General features: G+C 43.3%; 1 long non-coding RNA gene across 1 annotated transcript; it reads right to left on the bottom strand.

Moving 5' to 3' along the window:
- Positions 1 to 266: 266 nt before the first annotated feature.
- LOC124903132 (uncharacterized) lies at positions 267 to 23707 on the bottom strand. The gene is made up of 3 exons (XR_007063714.1): positions 23493 to 23707; positions 5077 to 5204; positions 267 to 966 (listed from the first exon to the last, which is right to left on the bottom strand). It is a non-coding gene; the product is annotated as an uncharacterized LOC124903132 (long non-coding RNA).
- Between the last annotated feature and the right edge of the window lie 1494 nt (positions 23708 to 25201).

Genomic DNA, 25201 nt, shown 5'->3' with positions numbered 1-25201 from the left:
CAGGAGCGAAGCGGCAGACCTTCGCGGTAAGTGTTACAATTCACAACGCAGTGAACCCAAAGTCAGCAACAACTAGATTTATAGCAAACAGCCAAAGAACAAACGCTCCACATCTTGGGATACGACCCCCGAGCAGGTTCTTGGCGCAAGGGCCGGCACCCTGCTTTTATTCCCTTATCTGACCCCACCCACATCCTGCTGATTGGTCCATTTTACAGAGAGCTGATTGGTCCATTTTGACAGAGTGCTGATTGGTGCATTTACAAACCTTGAGTTAGACACAGATTGCTGATTGGTGCATTTACAATCCTTTAGCTAGACACAAAAGTTTTCCAAGTCCCCATCCAACATAAGAGCCCAGCTGGTTCTGCTAGTGGATGCCGTTGAGAGCGGAGCTGCCTGTCAGTCCTGCGCCAGCACGCTCGCACTACGCAGGCCTTGGATGGTCGATGGGACCTGGTGCTGCGGAGCAGCTGGGAGCGCCCCTCAGGGAGGCTCCGGCTAATCAGGAGCCCACAGGGCAGGGGGCAGTGCTCGAGCATGGTGGGCTGCAGGTCCCCAGCCCCTGCCCCGCAGGGAGGCGGCTTGAGGTCCGGCCAGAATTCAAGTGCGGGGCGGGCGGGCCGGCCGGCAGGCAGTGCTGGGGGACCCGGCACATCCTCCGCAGCTGCTGGCCTGGGTGTTAAGCTTTTCACTGCCTGGGGCCAGTGGCGCCGGCCGTTCGGAGTGCAGGGCCTGCCGAGTCCGTGCTCACCCAGAACTCACGCTGGCCCATGAGTGCCCTGCACAGCCCCGGTTCCCACCCGTGTCTCTCCCTCCACACTTTCCCGCAAGCAGAGGGAGCCGGCTACGGTCTCCGGCAGTCCAGAGAGGGGCTTCCACACTGCAGCGGTGGGTTAAAGGGCTCCTCAAGCGCGGCCAGAGCGAGTGAGGGCTGCTAGCACGGTGTCTCCTCTCACTATAGAGCTGATGAAAGAAAATGGGAACGGTTAGCTTAAAAAAGGAAGGACGTGAGACAAGAGAAAATCTGTTTTGACTCTAAATAACAGAGTCCTTTCCAACAGCAAGTGCTTCCCAGCCCGCAGGGAGGCGCATGTGGCGAGCAAGCCCTTGGGGTGTGGTTTGTCGCTCACACGTGTCCCTCTACTGTTCCGTTGGTTAATTCCAGTGAGCATTCACTTGCACTCCTGAAGTGATGACCTTAACGTTTCACCACTGTCTTTCCACCGCTTCTGAAGCCACCGGCTCACTCAACAGGGTCAGCACATTTGGTCTCCTCCTCCACAAAGACATGCAAAAGAACATTAGATGAGAACCTCCTCAGCTTACCTGCACCAGCAACACCCTGCACAGGCAAAGCATGACTATCTTTTTTTTTTTTTTTTTTTTTTTTGAGATGGAGTCTTGCTGTGTCGCCCAGGCTGGAGTGCAGTGGCACGATCTGGGCTCGCTGCCAGCTCAGCCTCCTGGGTTCACGCCATTCTCCTGCCTCAGCCTCCCGAGTAGCTGGGACTACAGGCGCCCACCAGCATGCCCAGCTAATTTTTTTGTATCTTTTAGTGGAGACGAGGTTAGCAAGGATGGTCTTGATGATCTGACCTCGTGGTCTGCCCGCCTCGGCTTCCCAAAGTGCTGGGATTACAGGTGTGAGCCACCGCACCCGGCCCGAATCACTAGTACTTTGTTTTTTGAGACGGAATTTTGCTCTTGTTGCCCAGGCTGGAGTGCAATGGCGTGGTCTCCACGGACTGCAATCTGTGAGGCCTCCAGGGTTCAAGAGATTCTCTTGCCTCAGCCTCCCAAGTAGCTGGGGTTACCGGCGCCTGCAACCACACCTGGCTAATTTTTGTAATTTTAGTAGAGACGTGGTTTCCCCATGTTGGCCAGGCTGGTCTCGAACTCCTGACCTCAAGTGACCCATCCACCTCAGCCTCCCAAAATGCTGGGATTACAGCAGTGAGCCACAGCACCAATCCTGGAGATAGATTTTATAACAATCCAAGGAAAGCTGTAGACCCTCTTACCAGGAAAAGACATGGAACATACATAGTTGCATGAAATTTCAGGAGGTAAGTGAAAGCCCCTGCAGCACGGACCTCCTGAGATTCTCTGTTCCACCTGGTAGGTACCATTTTACCACCATCTACCTAGTTACAAGGTCAAACAGCAAAGTCCTAGGTAACTCTTCCACATTTGCCCCAACCCCTTCCAAGTGGTAACCAAATCGTGTGCCTCTTCCTCCTACGTGTCTGTAATCTGTGTCTCCTCTAATCTATCCACAACACTACCTTAGTGCAAACTCTCGTTATCTGTCACCTAGATTACTATAACAGGCTAAAACTTGTCTCTATTCTCCCCTCCAACCTGCACACTGGCAACCAGTGTTCTGGTTTTTTTTCCCTGCATCTGTAAGATATAAATGTAACTGTACCATTCCCCAGATTAGAATCCCTCAATTCACAATAACCTAAAGGCAGGAGCAATCCAAATACTCATCGATAGATGAATAAACAGAATGTGGCCCATCTATACAATAGAATATTATTCAGCCTTAAAAAAGGATTGAAATTCTGACAGATGCTACAGCGTGGATGAACCTTGAGGACATTGTGCTAAGTGAAAAGCCAGTTACAAAGGGGTAAATAATGTAAGCTTTGACTCATATGAGGTGCCCAGAGTAGTCAAATTCATGAGACAAAAAGTACTGGTTACCAGGGGCTAGGGAAATGGTGGTTGCCAGGAGCTTTGGAGATGAGGGAATGGAGAGTTATTGCCTAACGGGTGAAGAGATTCATTCGGGAAGATGAAAAAGTTCTAGAGCTGGCTGGTGACGCTGGTTGCAAAGCAACGTGATGTGCTTAATGCCACTGACCTGTATGCTTAAAATGGTTAAAATGATAAATTTTATGTTACATTGTTTTACCACAATTAAGAAAAATCCTCCCATAACTATCACCTAGAGATAAATTCCTTAAAATGACATCTAAAATCAGGATCCAGCCCGACCTACTCCTCCAAGCTCCGTGAACAAGTCACCCTTAATTCCTGATTCCCTGACTCTCTCGTAGCTGTTCACAGACCTTGCCTCTCCGCCAAGTGTCTTTCTTCCTGTGCAGGAGACAGTCTAACCTAGTGCTGAAGAGCCAGGACTCAGAATCACACTGCCTAGCTTTCACTCCCTGCTCAGCCACTTACTGGTTGCACGAGTTATTACCCGACCTTGCAATTCTTAGTTTCCTAATCTGTAAAATGGGAATAATAAACTAGTAGTTATTGTAGTGATTAAGTGAACTAGCACATGTAAAACACTTCAGATTGTGCTTGGAACTCACTAAATGCCTAATAAGTTGTCATTTGTCAGTCATGTGAGAATGTCTCCTGATTCTTTTTTTTTTTTTTTAGACAGAGTGTCCTCTGTCGCCCAGGCTGGAGTGCAGTGGCGCGATCTCGGCTCACTGCAAGCTCTGCCTCCCGGGTTCACGCCATTCTCCTGCCTCAGCCTCTTGAGTAGCTGGGACTACAGGCGCCCGCCACCGCCCCTGGCTAATTTTTTGTATTTTTAGTAGAGACGGGGTTTCACCATGTTAGCCAGGATGGTCTCGATCTCCTGACCTCGTGATCTGTCTGCCTCGGCCTCCCAAAATGCTGGGATTACAGCGTGAGCCACCCCGCCCGGCCATCTCCTGATTCTTATGAAGCAATGTCTGTGATGGGATCATATGTTGGGAGCCATCCCTGTTCTCCCACCCTCGTCTCAGGAAGCGCTGGGTACTCCTTCTCTGCATTCCTACGTAGTACCTTTTATATACTTGTATTTCTTTTAAAGAAGCAGTGTTGTTATCTGTTTAAATGTGTGACTCCTCCAGTGAACTGTGAGCTCGTAGAGATCAGAAATTGTAATTTATCGCCTCCCTACAGAGCCTCAGAGAGTCTGGCAGGTGCTACATTTTATAAGCCATCAGCCGAACTCTGTTGAATAAATGAGTCCATGTTGTAGAGGGAATTCCTGCTGGAGTGCAAGACTGGATTAGGTGCCCCTGAAACCTAGGAAACTCCAAGCCCTGGAGTCCAAGATCTCTGCATGTTCCCACTAAATACTGGCACATCGTCTTTGCATATTTGCTTTAGAAAAGCAAAGAAAGCACACCGTTTGCAGGGCCTGTGCTTACCTCTGCCATACATGTTTGATAGCAAAATACAGCATGCCTGATCCATGGCAAATGAACGTTCATGTCTTTAGCAGATTCTGGAATTTTTACCCCCAGATACAAGTTGAAATTACTGCTGTAATTGAGAAAATAGTAATAGAGCATCTGTTTTGTACCAGGTATTGAGGATACAGTGACAAGCAAATTCTTGTGGGCACTGCCCTCGCTGGGCACCCATGGAGTACACACAGACGTGTGCCCAAATGCAGTCCAGGTTCCTTTCATCCAAGTGACCTCACTGTCTTGACTGAAGGCTACTCTGCACAGGTCCACTCTATGCAGAAGCCAGCGATGGAAAGAAATTAAGCTACTAAGCACACCCTCTAATCACTGAAAGGGAGTCAGTTCAATGACAAGGTCATCACTGGCCAACTGCGCATGTAAAAAGATCTCCATGTCCGACTCCTAAGGAAGAGGTGCTTTCCCTGTACTTCAACCTCTGGTTCTGACATTACCTTGAACTCCAGGTAGAGCTAAGATTTCCTACACCCACCCCACCCTCTTCACAGGATATATTAAGCCTCAGGAAGAATGCCTTAGTAAACATCGTTTTCTGTTTCAACTTGTTAATAATTGCCGAATTTGGTTTGGGGGAATGTTTTATTATAATGGCTGTTAACAGGAAGGTCTCCAACTGTCAAATCACCTAACAGGCTTCATGTGGAGAAAATCTAGGTGTCCCAAGGGTGATCCAGGGCATCTCTGTGGATTAGCAGGCTAAATAGAAAGAAAATTTTCCAGCAAAGACATTGAGGCTGGGATAGAGAGAGAGAGAGAGAGAGAGAGAGAGAGAGAGAGAGTGAGAGAGAGACCACAGTTCATAAGAGAACAAAGAAAAGAGAATTTCAGATTCAGGACATAGTAGTACCTGTTTCTTCCCATGCTCTATTTTTTACAAATCCCCTGGGGATCTTGATAAGATGCAGATTTTGATTCAGCGGGCCCAGGTCGGATCTGGCTCTCTGCATCTCTAGCAGCCTCTCAGGTGACGCTGTGCTGTGGATGGAAGGATGACACTTTGAACAAGCAAAACCTTCCGAGTTCATTAAGAACATGGATTCATGCGTCCTCTTAAAAGATAACAGACAACTTCATTTCTTCTTTCGAAGAACTTTGGGGGAAGTATTTTAAACATCTTTCCTCAACTATGGCCTTATTGAGTTTGTCTAAAGTAGGGTCTAAGTCTCAAATCTTGAGGGAGCCCCTTTATGAGAGAGGGTGAAAAAACTGCCTTGGGAACAGGTGGGAGAGCGCCACCTAGGAAGGGGTCAGGTTCTGGGTTCAGGAGCAACTAAGAAACTCCCTTCTATTGGCACCTTCTCAGGCTTTCCCAATCTGAGAAAAGTTTTTGAAGATGAGAATAAGGATGCCCCTCATTTTTCAAACTATGTGAATACCCCAGAAGACATCAGTGAAACCTCTCGTTATGTTTCACAGCCATGGGGAAAGCCCTCTCATTTAAAGATTTTGTAACTGTTTTCGTAACTTAACTTTATAGAAATCTGAATTGTCCTGAGCTGAATTAGATGATCCTGAATGAAAAACCCCCTTTTTTTCCTGTCAAATATTTAAGACTTTTTTTGACTCTCCCAAAGGTAAGATTCCACAAAGTCCAGACATGACATTCTCCCAAAAATTTGGCTGATGTTCCATGAACCTTGAAGCCTTCCCCACCCTGGCCCTCAGTTCAGCTTACCTGCCTGCCACTGAAATATTTAGGCCCACGGAAGGCACCTGGTGTAGGAAGAGCATTCCCCCGTGTGGCAAAATGAAACATGCTCACTGCAGCCTCTGCGCCCACAGCCATTCGCAAGCCACCACTGTGTCCCAAGAAACACCAGCTCTCTACACAGGGCAGCCCCTGATCTAATGTCACCAGGGGGCCACCCATGGGATGTAATCACAAGCCCGATCCCTGCTGGCAGACTTCAGTCCCCTGATGCCTCATCTTCCCTGCAGGGCTCCCCCAGCCAGCAAGTGTTCAAGCCGGACCCCAGAGGCAGTGACAGCAGGACTGGAGGCCCAGCCAAGGGCACAGCCGGGAGAAGAGCCACACAGCTAATTAGTCCAGGAACCACATGCCTATTGTTCTCCTGTATTCGCCAGCCGGAACCTGATCCGCCAAACCGCTAGCCCACCGGGCAGAGCAACACATTCCAGAAATCTGGGCTGCCTGCCAACGCCACCCCGCCTGAAAGCTTCTTCCCCCTGAAATCCAAACCTGGGGACCATTAGCCCAGGAGCCCTGCCTGATCATGCACTGCACTGCGGGGCATGGGGAGACACCCTCCCTCGGGACATGGACTGACCCACAGTGACAGAGGACAGCAAAGGCCACTGCATCCGGCATTGCACCCCAGTGGCCCCCAGGGGCGGGTCCCAGGGACCTGCCCAGGGGCCTATGCTGGGTGGCTCTGCCACCTTCGCCTTTTGACCTGCTTTGGTGGTGTCCCCAATCTTGAGGACTGACTGAAAAGAAACGAAAACACTGCTGGAACACTGTGATCATTTGCATTTGGGCTTGGTCGGTTTGAGGCTTTTTCTCTCCCATTGACAATTGTCTCGAGACCTGACCCCCAACTCTAGGTAATGCTGGCTGTTGGCAGGGAAGTAAGTTTCTGTTACTTTGAAATCTCCTCTAGTCTGGTATTGGTGTAATATATCATAAGAGAGACCCTCTTCACTCCTGGGGATACCTGGAGAGCCCATGAGCTTTACATCAAGAAAAAAAAAAGAAGGGGAAGATGTTAAGAAAACTATAAAATGAGAACAAGTAATTCTCATGGAAGGCTTCCAAAAGGTACCTTTTCCTATGGCTCACAACACTGATCTCCCCTCTCTATCACTTGGCTCTCCTTGAATTTCATTGAACCAGGTCTAAAAGGAAGAGACCCAGCTGGTACCCCCACCCCCCTTTAAAAGTAACTTTTCTGCAACTCCCCCAGACCACCAGGCTCCCCTCATCTTCAAGGTGAGGACACTGTCGAATACCCTCCTCCTCCTCCTGCCCTGACTTTTCCTCCTTCTCCCAACAGTCTTATCTCCCCAGATTCTTCCTGCTCCCATCCTAGGTTCTAGCATTTTCCTTTCTGCCTCATCCTTCTATGCCCTCACAGCACCACTATCCCCAAATTCACCTCCAGTTGCACATCCTCTCAAAGCACCTTGTTTCGACTTGTGGGACGTATCCACCTGGATTTGAAGACAATGCCTTAAACTCATCGTGTCTAAGACCAAGTTCATCCTCTCCACAAAACTAGCCCCTTCCTCTACTTTCCTTCTGTCTCTTAATGACATTAACACTGGTCCAGAAAACTGGGTTTGGAATCCAGTAATCTGCTCATCCTGATCTCTCTCAATTCCAACCTCCAGTAGTTTCCAAGGAATAGCCACTCTCCCTCTCATACTCTCCCCTTTCTTTCTCTCCACTCTGTGCCATCCCAACACACCCTATGTCACCTGCCTAGATGCTGGGCAAACACCTAACTGATGCCTGTCTTTATGAATCATCAAACTCTAGAGCAGAACTGGGCCTTAGAAAAGATTTTGTAAGCCCCCTTATGCTTCCAGATGAGGATAAGAACTGAAGCCTGGGAAGTGGGCTTGCCAAGGCTCCTCGGGTTTTGAAGGAGTGCTCTCCTCTGTCCCAGACATCACTGCTGATGATGTCACTCAAATATTGCAATCAAGACTCTCTCCACTTGATATCAGTCCAGTCACTGAACATAGTCATTTTTTCCTGTCTCCATACTTTGCTCATTTTGCCTCTTTTTCCTGGAATAATTCCTCCCCAACATCCCTCTCCCCTTTCTCAGCCACAGCTGAAACTCACCTCAGGTACCACTTCTCCATGTAGTCCACTTTGATCCCCCTCTACTCCTGGCTGTCTCTCCTTCTTCTGAGCTCCTCCAGCCCTTTTCTAGACTTCTCTTGAGACACAAGCATAACTCTCCCTTCGTTACAGTTATTTGTCCTACTTAATATTGCAGACTGCCCTACTTGTTATTTTTTACCCTTTATGGATTCCATCAGTATGTTCTGAACAAGAAATAGTTAAACTGAACTGCTTTCTATAGCCCTACTGTTTATTTAATAACCCAGAAGCTGATGATAAGGTCCCCAGTGTCATTTTGGCCCACATTCCACCCCTGGAATGATCCTGGGATCTGGAAGAAAGAAGCAGGTTAGGACAACTGTCAAATGAAAACAAGTAACTCTCTTGATGGCAGGAATGATGGACAAGCTAAGTACCCTAAGAGAGCTTAAACTGGGTAAACCTGGCCGGGAACGGTGGCTCACGGCTGTAATTTCAGCACTTTGGGAGGCCAAGGCAGGTGGATCACCTCACGTCAGGAATTCGAGACCAGCCTGGCCAACATGGTGAAACCCCGTCTCTACTAAAAATTCAAAAAAAAAAAATTAGCCAGGCGTTGTGGTGGGCGCCTGTAATCCCAGCTACTCAGGAGGCTGAGGCAGGAGAATCTCTTGAATCCAGGAGGCAGAGGTTGCAGTGAGCCGAGATAGCGCCATTGCACTCCAGCCTGGGCAACCAGAATGAAGCTCCATCTCAAAAAAAAGAAAAAAAAGGGTAAACCCCCGTAACCCCCTCTCCCGGAACACAGGCTGATGTGGACCCAGATCTGTAGTCCCATTGCTCATGCAAGAAGAACCAAATGGAAATCATCCTTTGGAGCGCATGTCATGAACACAATCAAAGCAGCTCCACGTCATGGAGGCTGTCATAGGCGCAATTTTAATATCCTACAAAATACAAGTTGGGAAATATCATAGACCCAAATAGTCACCAAAATTGAGATCATCCTGAAAAACAATCGGGCCTTTGCCCACTGAACAGTGGCATAATTGATACTTTCTATTCTAGGGACAAGGAGGTGTTGAGGAAATATGGGAAGAGCAGAAATCAGCCACTCCTTGGGAACAATCTCACAGTCAGAATTGTAGGAATTCTTTCAGGCTAATTGATAACAATCATCTAAGCCTGGTTCACATGGAAGTTAAACCCATAAATGGAATTAAAGGAAAAAACTTTTTTAAGGGAATTTTGATATTTATTTAAAAGGCTGAAAGTGATTTTTTGTTTTTTTGAGACAGGGTCTCACTCTGTTACCCAGGCTAGAGTGCAGTGGCATGATTACAGCTCACTGCAGCCTCAGCCTCCCAGGCTCAAACAATCCTCCTGCCTCAGCCTCCTGAGGAGCTGGGACTACAAGTGTGTGCCACCACACCTGGCTATTTTTTTCTATTTTTTGTAGAGATGAGATCTTGCTATGTTGCCCAGTCTGGCCTTGAACTCCTGGCCTCAAGCAATCCTCTCACCTTGGCCTCCCAAAGGGCTGGGATTACAGGCATGAGCCACCGCACCTGGCCTGATTATTCTTTAATATTTTCAAAATAATACTTTCAAATAGTCTGAGTGGAGAAAGAAGTTTAATGTGTAAAAATATCTTTTTTATTTTTAAATAACAGCTTTACTAAAATATAATTGGAAGTTTGATATACATATACATTGTGAAATGATTAATTACTATAGTCAAGCTAATTAAAATATCCATCACCTCACACAGGGACCTTTGTGTGTGTGTGTGTGTGTGTGTGTGTGTGTGTGTGGTGAGAACACAAGACCCACTCTCTTTACAAATTTCAAGAGTTCAGTAGTATTAACTATAGTCATCATGCTGTACATTAGGTCTCTAAAACATATTCATCCTATGAAACTGAAACCTGTATCCTTTGACCAGTATCTACCACAATTTCTCCCAACCCCAATTCCACCCCTGCCAATGGTAGCCACCATTCTATTTTCTGCTTCTATGAATTTTACTTTTTTAGATTCTACATATAACTGAGATCATGTAGTATTCTTTTTTCTGTGTCTGGCTTATTTCACTTGGCATGCTTTTCAAGTTCATCCATGTTGTTACGAATAGTAGGATTTCCTTCTTTTTTAAGGCTGAATAGTATTCCAATATGTGTGTGCGTGTATATATACCACATTTTCTTTATTCATTCATTTGTCAATAGATGCTTAGGTTGATTTCATATCTTGACTACTGTGAATACTGCTGGAATGACCATGGAAATGCATACATCTCTTTGAGATATTGATTTCAATTCCTTTGGGTATATATTCAAAAGTAGAATTATCAGATCATAAGGTAGTTCTGTTTTTGATTATTTAAGAAAACTCCATGCTGTTTACCATAATAGCTATACAAATTTACAATCCTACCAACAGTGTACAAGGGTTCCCTTTTCTCCACAGCCTTGCCAACACTTGTCAATTTTTATTTTTTGATAATGGCCACCCTAACAGGTGTGAAGTGATGTCTCGTGGTTTTCATTTGCATTTCCCTGATGATAGGTCAGCACCTTTTCATATACTTGTTGGCCTTCTTTGGAGAAATGTCTATTTAGGTCCTTTCTCCATTTTTTAATCAGATTATTTGGGTTTTTTTGGCATTGAGTTGTATGAATTCTTTCTATATTTTGGATATTAACCCTTATCAGAGATATGGTTGCAAATATTTCCTCTCAATCTGTAGGCTGCCTTTCCATTTTTTAAATTATTTTTCTTTGCTGTGCATAAGCTTTTTATTTCGAAGTTGTCTCACACATTTATTTTTGCTTTTTTTGCCTCCGCTTTCAATGTCATATCCAAAAAATCATTGCCAAGACCAATATCAAAGAGGTTTTTCCCTATGTTTTTTCCTAGTACTTTCACAGTTTCAGGTCTATGTCTTTCTTTTGAGTTGGTTTTTGTGTATAGTGTAAGATAAGGGTCCAATCTCATTTCTTTGCATGTAGATATTCAGTTTTCTCCACACTGTGAACTGGAGAGACTATCCTTTCCCTCTTGTATATTCTTGGCACCCTTGTTGAACATTAGTTGACTGAATACACATGAGTTTATTTCTGGGCTCTCTATTTCGTTCCATTGGTCTATATGTCTATTTTTATGCCAGTACCATACTATTTAAATTATTATAGCTTTGAAGTGTAATTTGAAGTCAGAAAGTGTGATACCTCCAACTTGTTCTTCTTTCTCGAGATTGCTTTGGCTATTTGGGGTCTTTCGTTGTTCCATATGAATTTTAGAATTGTTTTTTCTATTTCTGTGAAAAATGCCACTGGAATTTTCACAGGGATTGTGTTGAATCTATAGATTGCTTTGTGTTATATGTACATAATATTAATTCTTCCAACTTGTGATAGGAAATACTTTTCCATTTATTTGTGTCTTCTTCAATTTTTTCATTAATATTTTGTAGCTTTCAGGGTACAGATCTTTCACACCCATGTTTTTCTTTTTGATGCTATTGTGAGTTGGATTGTGTTTGATTTTCTTTTCAGATAGTTCATTGTAGGTATAAAGAACATAACTGATTTTTGTATGTTGATTTTGTGTCCTACAACTCTTCTGAATTCATTTATTAGTTTTAACATGTTTGTGGTGTTTTTAGAGTTGTATACATATAAGCTCATGTCATCTGCAAACAGAGGTAATTTTATTTCTTTCTTTCCAATTCAGATGCCTTTTATTTATCTTTTTGCCTAGTTGCTCAGCTAGGACTTCCAGTACCGTGTTGAATAGGAGTGGCAAGAATGGCAATCCTTATCTTGTTCCTGGTCTTAGAGGAAAAGCTTTCAGTTTTTCCCCATTGATTACGATGTTAATCATAAGTGGCCTTCATTATGTTGAAGTAAGTTCTTTCCACATCTATTTTGTTAAAAAAATTTTGTCATGGATAAATCCCTAGAAACATACAATCTGCCAAGACCTAATCAAGAAGAAACAAAGTTTGAACACACCAACAAATAAGGAGATTGAATTCGTAATCAAAACCCTCCCAACACGGAAATGTCCAGGACCAAATGGCTTAATGGATGAACTCTACCAAACATTCAAAGAATAATTAATACCAATCCTTCTTAAATGCTTCCAAAAAATAAAAGAGAAAACACTTCCAAACTCATTTTATGAGGCAACATCACCCCAATACCAAAGCCAGACAAAGACACCACAGAAAACTACAGACCAATACCTGTAATGAACATAGATGTGAAAATCCTCAATTAAATATCAGCAAACCAAATTCAACAGCACATCAGAAAGATTAAACACCCTGACCAGGTGGGATATATCCCTGGGATGCAAGGTTGGTTCAACATAACACAAATCAGTCAATGTGTTACACCACATTTAACAAAATGAAAGATAAAAACCACATGACTGGATGATTATCTCAATAGATGCACAAAAAGCACTTGACAACGAACTCTTGCAAATAAACTTGTAAAGTTCAATTACAGCTAAAAATACAAAATATTCTTTGTTCAAACGCTAGGCACACGTTTTCTTTGGTAAGATGCTAGAACAGAGAGCAATGAAGTGAGTTGAATGAAAAAAAGATAGCAAAAAGAGAGCATCATGCTGTAGTCTCTCTTTGAAAATGTTTTCCAGTAGAAAAATGCACATGTTTATTCCAAATCCATTTCAAGTACAAGCAGACATTTCAGTCTCTTGCCTGCCAACTCTCTGTCTTCTCTAACCCACTATGGAGAATACTTGACATCTGCGAGGAAGGAACAGCATGACTTGCATTTACTTCAAGGTTAAAGGTGAAATGTATTTGTCATTAAAGTCCTCAGCAAACACATAGAACGGGCCTTTTTTTAAAAAGGGACATCAAATATTTTGATGTGGTTAGAGGCACAAACAAGACAACAGATGTTAACGTCTGGTGATGATGTCAGGACCACAATGATTTTTTTTCCTAAACTTTGTTCTTTTTTTATGTAATCGGTTTCAAAACATATTCAAATGATATTTAGGACGACCTAGAAACTAATAATTCATCTTGAACCTATGTCAAAAAGCAGATCCAAAGGAAGCACAAAATAAATTTTGTGTGGTTTTTCACTCCCTTTCTCTCTCTTTGGTCCCAAATATTACCCTTACTTCTTTTTAGAAAGTAGTACTGTTAAAAAAAATAAAAATGAAAACCTTCTAGTATCACACAACTGAAGTTCTAAGTGCTTCCTTTGTCCATAGAATGAACCACTGTGACTTATGTAAGCTTCCTCCTTCCCCCTGACCAAAGGAGATCAACTGCCTGGTCTAGATCATCCTTCGGCTTTCATGGGCTTTATGAAAATGCTTTAGTCTACCAGGAAGTCTACAAATGTACTCTACAAGTCTGAGTTGTTGCATTATGGTGAGTGCTTTGGGGAATCAAAGCATCCTTTGCTCTGATGGACCAACAAGGATACAGCCATTTTAAAAATAGGTCAAATAAACTCACCAAAACTCTGCTTTTATTAAAAAAAAAAAAAACTAAATGCCAGTGGGACTATTTTTAACATAATTCCCTATTATCAGTTTGGGTCACAAGTCTTCATATAAAAATGAAAGCACAAACCAGACAATGAGGAACACAAACTGACACTTACTGTGTTTACAAGCTGCTGATCCATCCCTGGAGTCACTCCGGGATGCATTTAGTTACCTTTTTTTATACAAAGGTAACAAAAGTAATTTGAAAAACTGGAATATTTATTAGAACTCTTTTGCTTTTAAAGAAGACACAGTTTTGTTGAGATATAATTTACACACCATGAAACTCACCATCTTAAAGAGTATAATTTAGGGGTTTTTAACATATTCTTGAGATTGTATTAATTCAACCAACATCACTATTTTATTTCAAACCACTTTCTTCAGCCCAAAAAGAAATGCTATACTTCCTAGTAGTCATTCCCCCTTTCTTCCTCTCTGCAGCCTCTGGCAACCACTGCTCTACTTTCTGTGTCTATGGATTTGTTTATTGTGGACATCTCATGTAAATGGAATCACACAATATACAAGTTGAGCATCCCTAATCTGAAATCCAAAATACTCCAAAATCCAAAACTTATAAATGTCAACATGATGCCACAAGGGAAAATTTCACACTTGACCTCATGTACACAAACATTGTTTCATGCACAGAATTATTAAGAATATGACTAAGACCCCAAAAGCAAATGCAACAAGAACAAAAATAAATAAATGGAACTTAATTAAACTGAGAAGCTTCTGCATAGCAAAAGAAATAACAGAGTAAATAGACAATTTATAGATGAGAGAAAATATTCACAAACTATACACCCAATAAAAACCTAACATCAAGAATCTACAAGGGACTCAAACAAATCATCAAGAAAAAACAAATAAACCCATTAAAAAGTGGGCAAATTACATGAAAAGATATTTTCCAAAAGAAGACACACACACAGAAATGGCCAACAAACATATGAAAAAAATGCTCAACATCACTAATCATCAGGGAAATACAAATTAAAACCACAATGAGATACAAAATTACCCCCGTCAGAATGGCCATTATTAAAAAGTCAAAAATAATAGATATTGGCATGGATGTGGTGAAAAGGAAATGCTTGTACACTGCTGGTGGAAATGTAAATTACTACAACCCCTATGGAAAATAGTATGGAGATTTATCAAAGAACTAAAAATAGAACTACTCTTCAATCTGGCAATTCCACCATTGGGTAGATACCCAAAGAAAAAGGAGTCATTATATCAAAAAGACACCTGCACTTGTATGTTTATTGCAGCACAGTTCACAATTGCAAAGATAAGGAATCAACCTAAGTATCCATCAACTGATGAATGAAGAAAATGTAGTATATACATATATAGATATAGATAGATAGATAGATATTGTGAAATATTACTCAGCCATAAAAAAGACTGAAGTAATGTCTTTTGCAGCAACTTAGATGGAACTGGAGACCATTATCCTAAGTGAAGTAACTCAGGAATGGAAAATCAAATACTGCACATTCTTATAAGTAAGAGCTAAGCTATGGGTACGCAGAGGCATACAGAGTGATATAATGGACACTGGAGACTCAGAAGTGGGGAGGGTGGAAGGGAAGTGAAGGATGAAAAATTACCAGTTGGGTGCATTGTACACTATTCAGGTGACAAGTACACTAAAAGCCCAGGCTTCACCACTATACAATTCATCCATGTAACCAGAAACCACTTGTACCCACTAAAGCTATTGAAATAAAAATAATAAAATCAGAACTATGAAATCAAATCAAATCAAAGGAAACAAATGAACATATGTATCCAGTTGGTGGCATAACTACCAAAAAGGAACCATTCCAAGTGACTTAAAAACACAGGAATTTGTCAGGCATTCCCAATGGGATATACCCTAACTATAAAAAGAACTGCAAAACAATTAGTAAAGAATTATTTAAGTTTAAAAATATATATATTGTTTAAAATTACCTTCGGGCTCTCTGTATAAAGTGCATATGAAACTTGAATGAATTTCATGTTTAGACTTGGGTCCCATCTCCAATATATCTCATTATATATTTGTAAATGTACCAAAATCCAAAAGATTTGAAATCCGAAATATTTCTTATCCCAAGAATTTCAGATAAGGGACACTAAACCTGTATAAACCTTGTGTCTGGCTTCTTTCACTCAGTATAATGTTTCAAAAGTTCATCTATGTTGTAGCATGTGTCAGAATTTCATTCTTTTTTATGGATAAGTGATATTCCATTGTATGAATATACCATATTTTGTGTATTCATGCCTCAGCTGACAGACATTTGGGTTTTTTTCACATTGGGAATATTATGAATAATCATACTGCTGTGAACATTCATAGCAAGTTTTGGTATAAATAAATATTTTCAAATCTCTTGAGAGTGGGTACTTTTTTAACCAATTAATTGTCCTGGGTTGCTCAATTTGCAATTACAAGCAGGTATTAGAGGGGTCCTCTCCACGGCCTACAAGTCCTCTCATGAACTATTGGATCTGCCTATATCTCTGACCACAACTCTCACTATCATTCTCTTTCTCACTACATTCCAGCAGCTCCTAAATCTCTTCTAAATCTTCCCTTCCTCTATATCTAACCACTAACCACCACGGTGTCCCCCACCCCAAAAATTTTTTAAATGAAGAATTAAAGAGGTTCTGTCTCAGTGCAACAACCTGGTCTTATTCATTCTTCCCCAAGTTATCCACCACCTTAACTGCAGGTGTTAATACAATCTCATAGCTCTAAACATCTGCACTTAATGCCAAGTCTTCACTCAAATCAAGTTCCAACTCTGGGTGCTGGACCTCTCATCTCCCATGGGGAAAACGTTTTCACTGAGTTTATCTCTCACTCTCTCTTTACCCACAAGGCCTAGTCTCACCTGCAAAATAACCTACTGCCATCCATCTGCACTCCACTCATTCGCTTGGAAATCCTGCAGGTTCTATCACCAGCTATAGACCAAGTTTCCTGGCCCTGTTGTGGCTCAAATACGAGAAGAGTGAGTTAATATGCAAGAGAACCATGGATGGTCTCACACTGAAGATGTAACAGCAGCTGCGCACACATTCTCAATGACCTAGGTTGGATCCATTGGAGGGTAAGGGAGGTCTTGTACATCTTAGTCACCGCTGCATGTCCAGGACCTAGAATGGTGCCTGCAGCTAGAAACCTTTCAATAACATTTGTTGAATAACTTAATGAATATAGGAGGGACTTCTCTCCTCTTCCCTTAGGCGTTGATTTATTTTATTTCTACTCCTTTCTGTGCAATGTGTGAACCTTCATGCTAATGTCACTATTAATTTTGTTCCCATAAACCCTTCAACTAAAGTAGTGCAGCTCCTTTCTCTTTCCTTTTTGGAATGTCATGTGTTTTATGGCACTGGCAAATAGCTGAGATGCTAAAACCAAGTCTTAGTTGAAGCTGCATACATAATTATAAGCCTACTGTTTGTATTCTACTGAAAACAGCAACTCCATGCTTAAAACACCTTTATTCTGTTTTTGATTCCTTCTAGACTCTCTGATACCAAGTAGCATGTGTTTTGCTCTTCATAAGTGCTCTCAGCCCCACGAGTTAGACAAGTCTCCCATTACGTGGTGCAATTGCAGCCTTTGGCAGTACCATCAGTCAGACTTGAAATATTCACCCACTGTCTCTTACCTCAAGCATGAGCCCTCACAGCCACACTTCATCTTACATTATCTCCTGCTCCAGGGAGACTCAGTTTTACCTCTTTCAAATATAAACTCTCTGACTCTAAATGATTCATTTCCCATCTCTGGACCTTGGTTTCTATTGTGTAAGAACAGGCCTTTAGTCTAGATCAGGAGTCTGGAAACTGACTCATGGGTCAATTTCAGTCCATTACCTGTTTTTGCAAATAAGGCATTAAAAGAAAAACTTTAGTCACATTGAATTTAACGAGTTTATTTGAGCAAAGAATGCTTTATGAATCAGGAAGCATCCTAAACCAGTGGGGGTCCTGAGATCTGCGGCCATCCATATGAGCCGGGGGCTTTTGTAGGCTGGACACAGAGGCAAAGTAGAGAAATCACCTGATTGGCTACAGTCAGGCATCTGCCTTATATGGGCATGGTGTGATAAGGTGGCTGTTTGTGATTGGCTGAAACTCAGCTGTTTGTTATGCTCCTAAATTAGGCTTGTTTATACGCTAAGGTCAAAGTTCACTACCTAAGGACTCAAGGTGCCCGGGGAGCCTCAGGCCACATTTAAGTTAATTTAACAAAAGTTTTATTGGAACAGAGCCATGCCCACTTTTCTAGATAATGTATATGGCTGCTTTCATGCAACAGTAACAGAGTTTTGCAGTTGCAGAATAGTCACTCTCTGGCCTTTCACAGGAGAAGTTTACTGACACTAGTTCATCTCTCTTGGCACTCTTCCAGCCCGACGTTCCAAAAGCCAGGCCCTCTGACAGGTTATTTTCTACTTCCCAGTCCATGGCAGAAGTTACCCCATGGGCTCACAGCAAAGTGACTGGTAAACCTCCCAGTCTCCAAACCGCTGTAATATTTTTGATATTCAGTCCTTGTCAATCTTTCTACCAGAGGGTAAATTTTAGTAATTCTTAAAAGAATAAGCAATATTCGCAAGTGTTGTTGTGAAAATCCAGGCGTCATAAGGCAGTGATAAAGTTAAATGGGGACGCCCTTGTGCACATAGATGCAAAGCAGGGAGAAAATGCAGAATCCACAAAAAGAAAGAAAACTGAGGCTGGAAGAGAATGAGCTCCTTCCTGGGCAGGTTGGAAACTGTGTGAGTACTGCAAGCATCAAAAGGGGAAACTAAGAAAAATAAATGGATTTTTTAAATAGAAAATAAGACAATGAGAGACAAGAGTGTGGTGGTATGAGAGGGAACTTAACATGCTAGGATTCGAGGGGCAGAGAAAGGGAGCCTTTGCCACTGGCCAGAGAGAAGCCAGGGTTGGGGGAACAGCATTTGCACCCTGGGCAGGCCAATGCCCCTTGCTGGACTCAGCCAGAGCCGTCTGCTGCTGTGATGGGGAAAATGGCCCTGCATACTTTCATTAAACCAGGTATTGAAAGGAGCCTGGTTACTCACAAAATCTGAAACTGAGATACTGGGTTGGACCATTTCTAGCCAGTAAGTGGCCTCTTACTAGGACCCCAGTAGGAGGGGGTATCTGTTCATTCGTCAAAGCCGCATCAACAAAGACAGGTGCATCTCTGCCTGCTGGCTTGCTGGCAAAGATGAAGTAGAGGTGCATGTGAGCTCTGGCAAGCCTCTGCTGGCCTTCAGGCACCTTTTAGGGAAATGAGAGGATGCTTGCTCTCACTGGGGCAGCCTGAACCCCCAACCCCCTCCCCAGAGGTCCTGGGCTCAGATATTTGCACACATCTGCGTGGGAGCTCCTTGCAGTGGATAGTGGAAGGATGGGACAAAAGAGAAACAGAAAAATGAAGAGGGCAGGCAGGAGCATGTGAGCTCAGGAGGCAGCCTCTGATGGAGGCCACAACCCCCTTTTAGGTTGGACAATAAGGGCGGGATTCCGCAAGCAAGAGGTGCTGCAGAGATAGGTAAGGTCTATCTCCTTGCTCTCCCCTCCCTTGCCACGGCCATCCCATTATGTCACAGACACGGGAGCAAGGCAGTGAAACAGACGCTGTGGGAGTTCAACACAGGGAGATAGCTACCTACCGAGTTTGTCTTAACAATGATTGAACCAATTGTCATTCAGCAAAAAAAAGGAAATGTTGAATGTTGTTCATTACATTCAAGTTTCTTTTTTGTTTCTTTTTTCTTTTCTTTTTTTTTGAGACAAGGTCTTGCTCTGTTGCCCAGGCTGGAGTGCAGTGGTGCGATCTTGGCTCGCTGCAACCTCCACCTCCTGGGTTCAAGCGATTCTCCCAAGTAGCTGGGATTACAGGCACATGCCACCACGCCCAGCTAATTTTTGTATTTTTAGTAGAGAAGGGGTTTCACCATGTTGGCCAGGATGGTCTCCATCTCCTGACCTCATGATCCGCCTGCCTCAGCCTCCCAAAGTGCTGGGATCACAGGCGTGAGCCACCGCGCCTGGCCTTTTCAGAATTTTTTTTTCTGAGTATTTTTAATCAATAAAAAAGTATAATCTAAAATATAAGCTGGGCACGGTGGCTGTAATCCCAGCACTTTGTGGGGCTGAGGTGGGCAGATCACGAGGTCAGGAGATCGAGACCTTCCTGGCCAACATGGTGAAGCCCTGTCTCTACCAAAAATACAAAAATTAGCTGAGTGTGGTGGCACATACCTGTAGTCGCAGCTACTCGGGAGGCTGACGCAGGGAGAATCACTTGAACCTGGGAGGCGGAGGTTGCAGTGAGCCGAGATCGCGCCACTGCACTCCATCCTGGTGACATAGTGAGACATCATCTCAAAAAAAAAAAAAAAGTATAATCTAAATTATAAACACTTTGGATACGAATTGCAAAATCTTTGATATGTCATCTCCTTTAAGCATGTTGTTTCTTTGCTTAATTGAGACAATCATTTCAGCAAATGACAGTATACACTGAAAATACAGAATAATTGTAAAATTATGAAGATAAAGCAATCAACTGGCATAAAATTGGTAATAAAAGAATAAGTGAGGTAAACAAAGGTATAGAAAAACTTCTAAAACTTACATTCTTTTTTTTTTTTTTTGAGACAAGGTCTTGCTCTGTTGCCCAGGCTGGAGTGCAGTAGAACGATCACAGCTCACTGCACTCTTGACTCCCCTGGGCTCAGCCTTGTGAGCATCTGAGAACACAGATGTGCACAACTTCGCCCAGCTAATTATTTTTAAACTTTTTTTTTTTCAGAGATGAGATCTCCCTTTGTTCCCCAAGCTGGTCTCAAACTCCTGGGCTCAAGTAACCCTCTGGCCTCAGCCTTGTGAGCATCTGAGAACACAGACGTGCACAACTTCACCCAGCTAATTATTTTTAAACTTTTTTTTTGTAGAGATGAGATCTCCCTTTGTTCCCCAAGCTGGTCTCAAACTCCTGGCCTCAAGTGATCCTCCCCCCTCAGCCTCCCAAAGCACTCAGATTATAGGCATGAGCCACCATGGCCTGGCCTAATGCTTACCTTCTTATATGGAACTGTGAGTCATGCTGAACACTTGCAGAATCTCTCTGCACTCCAGGAGAAAACAATGACATGATCACTGGTGTCAGAGATGAACGGCCACAGGAGCAGTGGGAGGATCATGGACCTTGGGGTCCCTCGAGTACGGGTTGAAATTCCAGTTTTCTAATTTACTACCTATGGGACTTTGGTCAAGTTGCTTAATCTTGCTGAGCCTCTGTGTCCTCCACTATAAGACACTATGGGAATGACAGTTTTACCTCTTGTGGTTATTTCAAACATCAAGCAAGATCTTCCAAAGCACTCACTACACCTACTCCATGTTGGCTTTCACGCCTATCTCTTAGGACTGGGATGGGAAGTAAGTGAGAAATGCCACGTCCATGGCACATGGTAGGCATTGAATAGCCATGGGAGGCAGCTCTCATATGGAATATGTGGTTGTAAATATAAAGGCGTGAATGAATGAGAAGGAACTTAAGATGCCCCAGCCCCTTGTAGGATACCATCTCTACAAAAGGAGGTGTTGGGAGGGAAAGTCCCAAGATGGTAGCTCTACCAACCAAAGAACTACAACCACGAGCAAGAGACTGCACCTGACTGTCTTCGTCTCTCCTGCTCTGATGTATAACAGAGAAAAGACCCTGTAATTCAACCACCCTGTGTTCTCCACTGTGCCCTAAAGAGGACAGAGATCCATGGAAACTAACATGGACACAAAACACTAATTGTCATGGAAGGAGTGGCCAAGTGGAGTTTCTGTCTGCACAGCTTGCCTTTTATGACTCCCTCAAAGTGAGGTCCAAACAATAACAGATGGGTCTCGTATCCTTGATCCCCTCCTCCAGCCAGCATAGCCTCTCTCCACCATTTTAATTAGAAATGTGTTTATTCAATAGGGTGACTTGATATTTTATATTTTGCTGTCTCAAATTATGATCATTGAATAAGCAGTAAAAAAAAAAAACAAAAACTCTTTTTCATGAGAAAGCAGAGCGATGATCCTTTAAACCCCTGTCAAGCGCACACAGCGAATGGTAGGCGGTGCTGTTAGGAGGGGAGGGCGCCACCTTTGTCGTGCAGACTTGGGGTTACAGGGGAATGTCATTTATCAAAGCTGCATCAACAGAGATGTGTGCGTCTTTGCCTGCTGACTTGCTGGGCTTCCCAGGCAAATCATCTGTCAGAGGCCTAAGCCCTCTCATTTTTCTGAGAAAACTACCAGGGAGAGGAGAAGAAGGCAGGATGGCAGGGCCAGGTCTGGGATTTGATGCAGGGGCCGAGCACCTGCTTCCAGAGGAGGCCCCGTGAGGGTGCAGGTCCTTCTTACATGCTCAGCGAACTGATGTTGGAATGTACAGAAAGACAGCAATAACCACAAAAAAAGAGTTGGATTTCCACACAAAAAAGGGCTCTTTCAGCTTCCCAAGCTATTTCTTTAGAAACATAATGCACTGTTGAGCATAAATAGCATTAATGGCTGCGAGGAATTTACTTTTATTTGTCCTTCTATAGAAGCTAAAGATACTCCCAACATAAGAAGAAAAAATGAGTGAAGCACAATTTAAGATGGCTTTGAAATGTCTGCTTGAGCTATTTTTACTTTTTCTCATTCCATTGAAACAAAAGTTTCTAAAAATGGACTTGGAAAAGCCAAGTTTTGATGTGACTATTTGGTAAGTTCCTTGAGAGCAGGAGTTATATATTATATTTCCTTATGTCCACCCCTGGGCAATGTGAGCAGAAAAAGGTATTAGGAAACTGTCGAATGGAGGAAGGAGCCAGCAGGCAATAGCCGGCTGGCTGAGAAGCAAAAACCGACCCGGGCAGGAGGGAATGAATTGCTCACAAGAGGGATGTTGCTATGCAATTTCTGTCTGCGCAACTTGCATTCATTATTGGGGATGAGATTGATAGGGCTGAACTGTAAAGCTAGCAAATGGAAGAGAAGATGGAGGTTTACCTTATAATACAGATTTTATGCAGATGCTGGGAAATATCCTTTAGGTCAAGGTCTCCCTTCTATCTTGAATAAAGCTCAAACTCTCCTGCACTTTGCAGTTTTCACACTTGCCCCGCCTAACTCACCCTTTCCAGAATGACAAGACTCACATTTGCTGAGAGTTTTGTACTTCGTCAGGCACCGTTCTAATGCTTGGAATGTATTATGTTATTTAGGCCTCCGAACAAGCCTTGGGATGAGTGCAATGCTTACCACCCATTTTACAAAGAAGTGGACTGAGGCCCAAAGGGGTGAATCGATTTAAGCAGTGTCCCAGAGCAGCAAGTGGGAAAACCAGAGTGAGAATTCAAACCCATGCATCCTAACTCCAATGCCTTTCCTCCCAAGACCGCAGCTTCTCTAGAAAATCTGACCTCTCTTTCTGTCCCCCACCTCTTCCTCCGTCTCTCCCCCTGCCTCTCCACTGGCCCCTGCTCCTCAGTGAGGACCCCCATCCTCCCTTCCACATTTGCTCAGGCTATTCTTCTGCCTGGACCGCCCATCTCTCCTCCTGACTCTTCTCCCAAAACATTGTCTGAAAAGTAAAATTAGGAAAGTTGTCACAGGAGGCCTTTCATTGCTCTTAAATTATTTCAAGTCTCTTGCTTTTGCAGAAAGCTCTCAACACTTAGAGGATGAGGACTCTATTTTATGTATCATCCCCTCTCCACCCTCATCAACTGCCTAGGCTAAGAAAAGTGCTAAACATAAAGTATTGGCTCAGTGAGTACTCATTTAACTGAAAGATGTAAGTGACTCCTTGTGCCTGTCTCTCACGAGTGGTGGAAGTCATCAGTACTCACCAACATTCCCTTGTCCTCTTCTTCTTGGCTCCTACACACTCCATGGCCAGCCCTGTGGCGTTGGTGGGGCACTGGTGGGGCCTCAGGCCTTCTCTCTGCTGGTATGGGGACAGTAGAGGCTGCTGTTGAAGGTCGAGATGATGGAGCCACAGGATCAGGCCAGGCTGTGCCACTGTCCCCTTCAAGGGCAGCTGTTCTGGAGAGCAGCCTTGACCTCCACAGACACTGGGGAAGTGAGGAATAAACTTTGCTGTGGCTTGTTTATGCCTGCAGCGTAACCTGGCCTCTGCCCACACGCGTGTGTTCATTCCTCAAAGAGTTCCCTGAAACACAAATGCAGGAATCCTGTTTCTGTTGGCCTTTTCGTTTCAGGATCATCCTTGCTGGTAAGTAGTAAGTAGAGAATCAAACCCACCAGATCCTAACTTGTGAGGCCAGAGGCACCCCCCCCCCGACACTGAGCATCTCTTCCAACGGTGCTGCTGTCCCATTTCCCCCTCGGGTTCGCTTTCGCGACCTGCAGCACAGAATTCTACAGCCTCAATAGAAGCAAATCTTATTTGAGAAACATCCAAAAGTCATTTAAGGCCGGGCGCGGTGGCTCACGCCTGTAATCCCAACACTTTGGGAGGCCGAGGTAGGCAGATCACTTGAGCTCAGGAGTTGGAAACCAGCCTGGGTAACACAGGGAGACCCAGTCTCTACCAAAAATCCAAAAATTAGCCAGGCATGGTGGTGTGCATCTGTGGTCCCAGCTACTCGGGAGGCTGAGGCAGGAGGATCACTTGAGCCTGGGAGGCTGAGGCTACAGTGAGCCGAGATCATACCACTGCACTCCAGCCTGAGTGACAGAATAAGACCCCATCTCAAAATAAATAAATAAATAAAAGGCATTCCGATGCAATTCTCAGTGACAAGATGTGTAATCAAGATAAGGGACTCCTTTTTTATTATAAAATGGAATTGAGTTAAAAAGTAATTAAACTTTCTTGTATGGTTCATAACGTCGCTGTGATGGTTAATACTGAGCACCATCTTGATTGGATTGAAGGATTCAAAGTATTGATCCTGGGTGTGTTTGTGAGGGTGTTGCCAAAAGAGATTAACATTTGAGTCAGTGGGCTGGGGAAGGCAGACCCACCCTTAACCCGGTGGGCACCATCTAATCAGCTGCCAGCGAATATAAAGCAGGCAGAAAAAGATGAAAAGGTGAGACTGGCGTAGCCTCCCAGCCTACATCTTTCTCTGTGCTGGACGCTTCCTGCCCTCGAACGTCACACTCCAAGTTCTTCAGTTTTGGGACTCGGACTGGCTCTCCTTGCTCCTCAGCTTGCAGACGGCCTATTGTGGGACCTTGTGATCATGTGAGTTAATACTTAATAAGCTCCCCTTTATATATATATACATATATATATACACACATATATAATATATATATTATATATGTAAATATATATTAAATATGTTTTTATAAATATATTTATTATAAATATATAATGCACATATTGTATATTTATAATATAAATATAACATATATTACAAATATACATATCTATGTATCCTATTCTGTCCCTCTAGAGAACCCTGACTAATACAGTAGCTCTGGAGGCATTTATAAGAAGGTTTTGGAAAATAGCAGCCTTATGATCCAATATGCCCAGTGTTTCCTAGGTGTAGCTAGTATTAAGTGCAAAAAATTATTTTCTGTT

The sequence above is a fragment of the Homo sapiens genome, chromosome 13 (genome assembly GCF_000001405.40).
Source record: "Homo sapiens chromosome 13, GRCh38.p14 Primary Assembly".
In the NCBI taxonomy this organism is placed as follows: Eukaryota; Metazoa; Chordata; class Mammalia; order Primates; family Hominidae; genus Homo; species Homo sapiens.
Note: the sequence above shows the minus strand (reverse complement) of the source record. Positions and strands in the feature narration are given on the sequence as shown.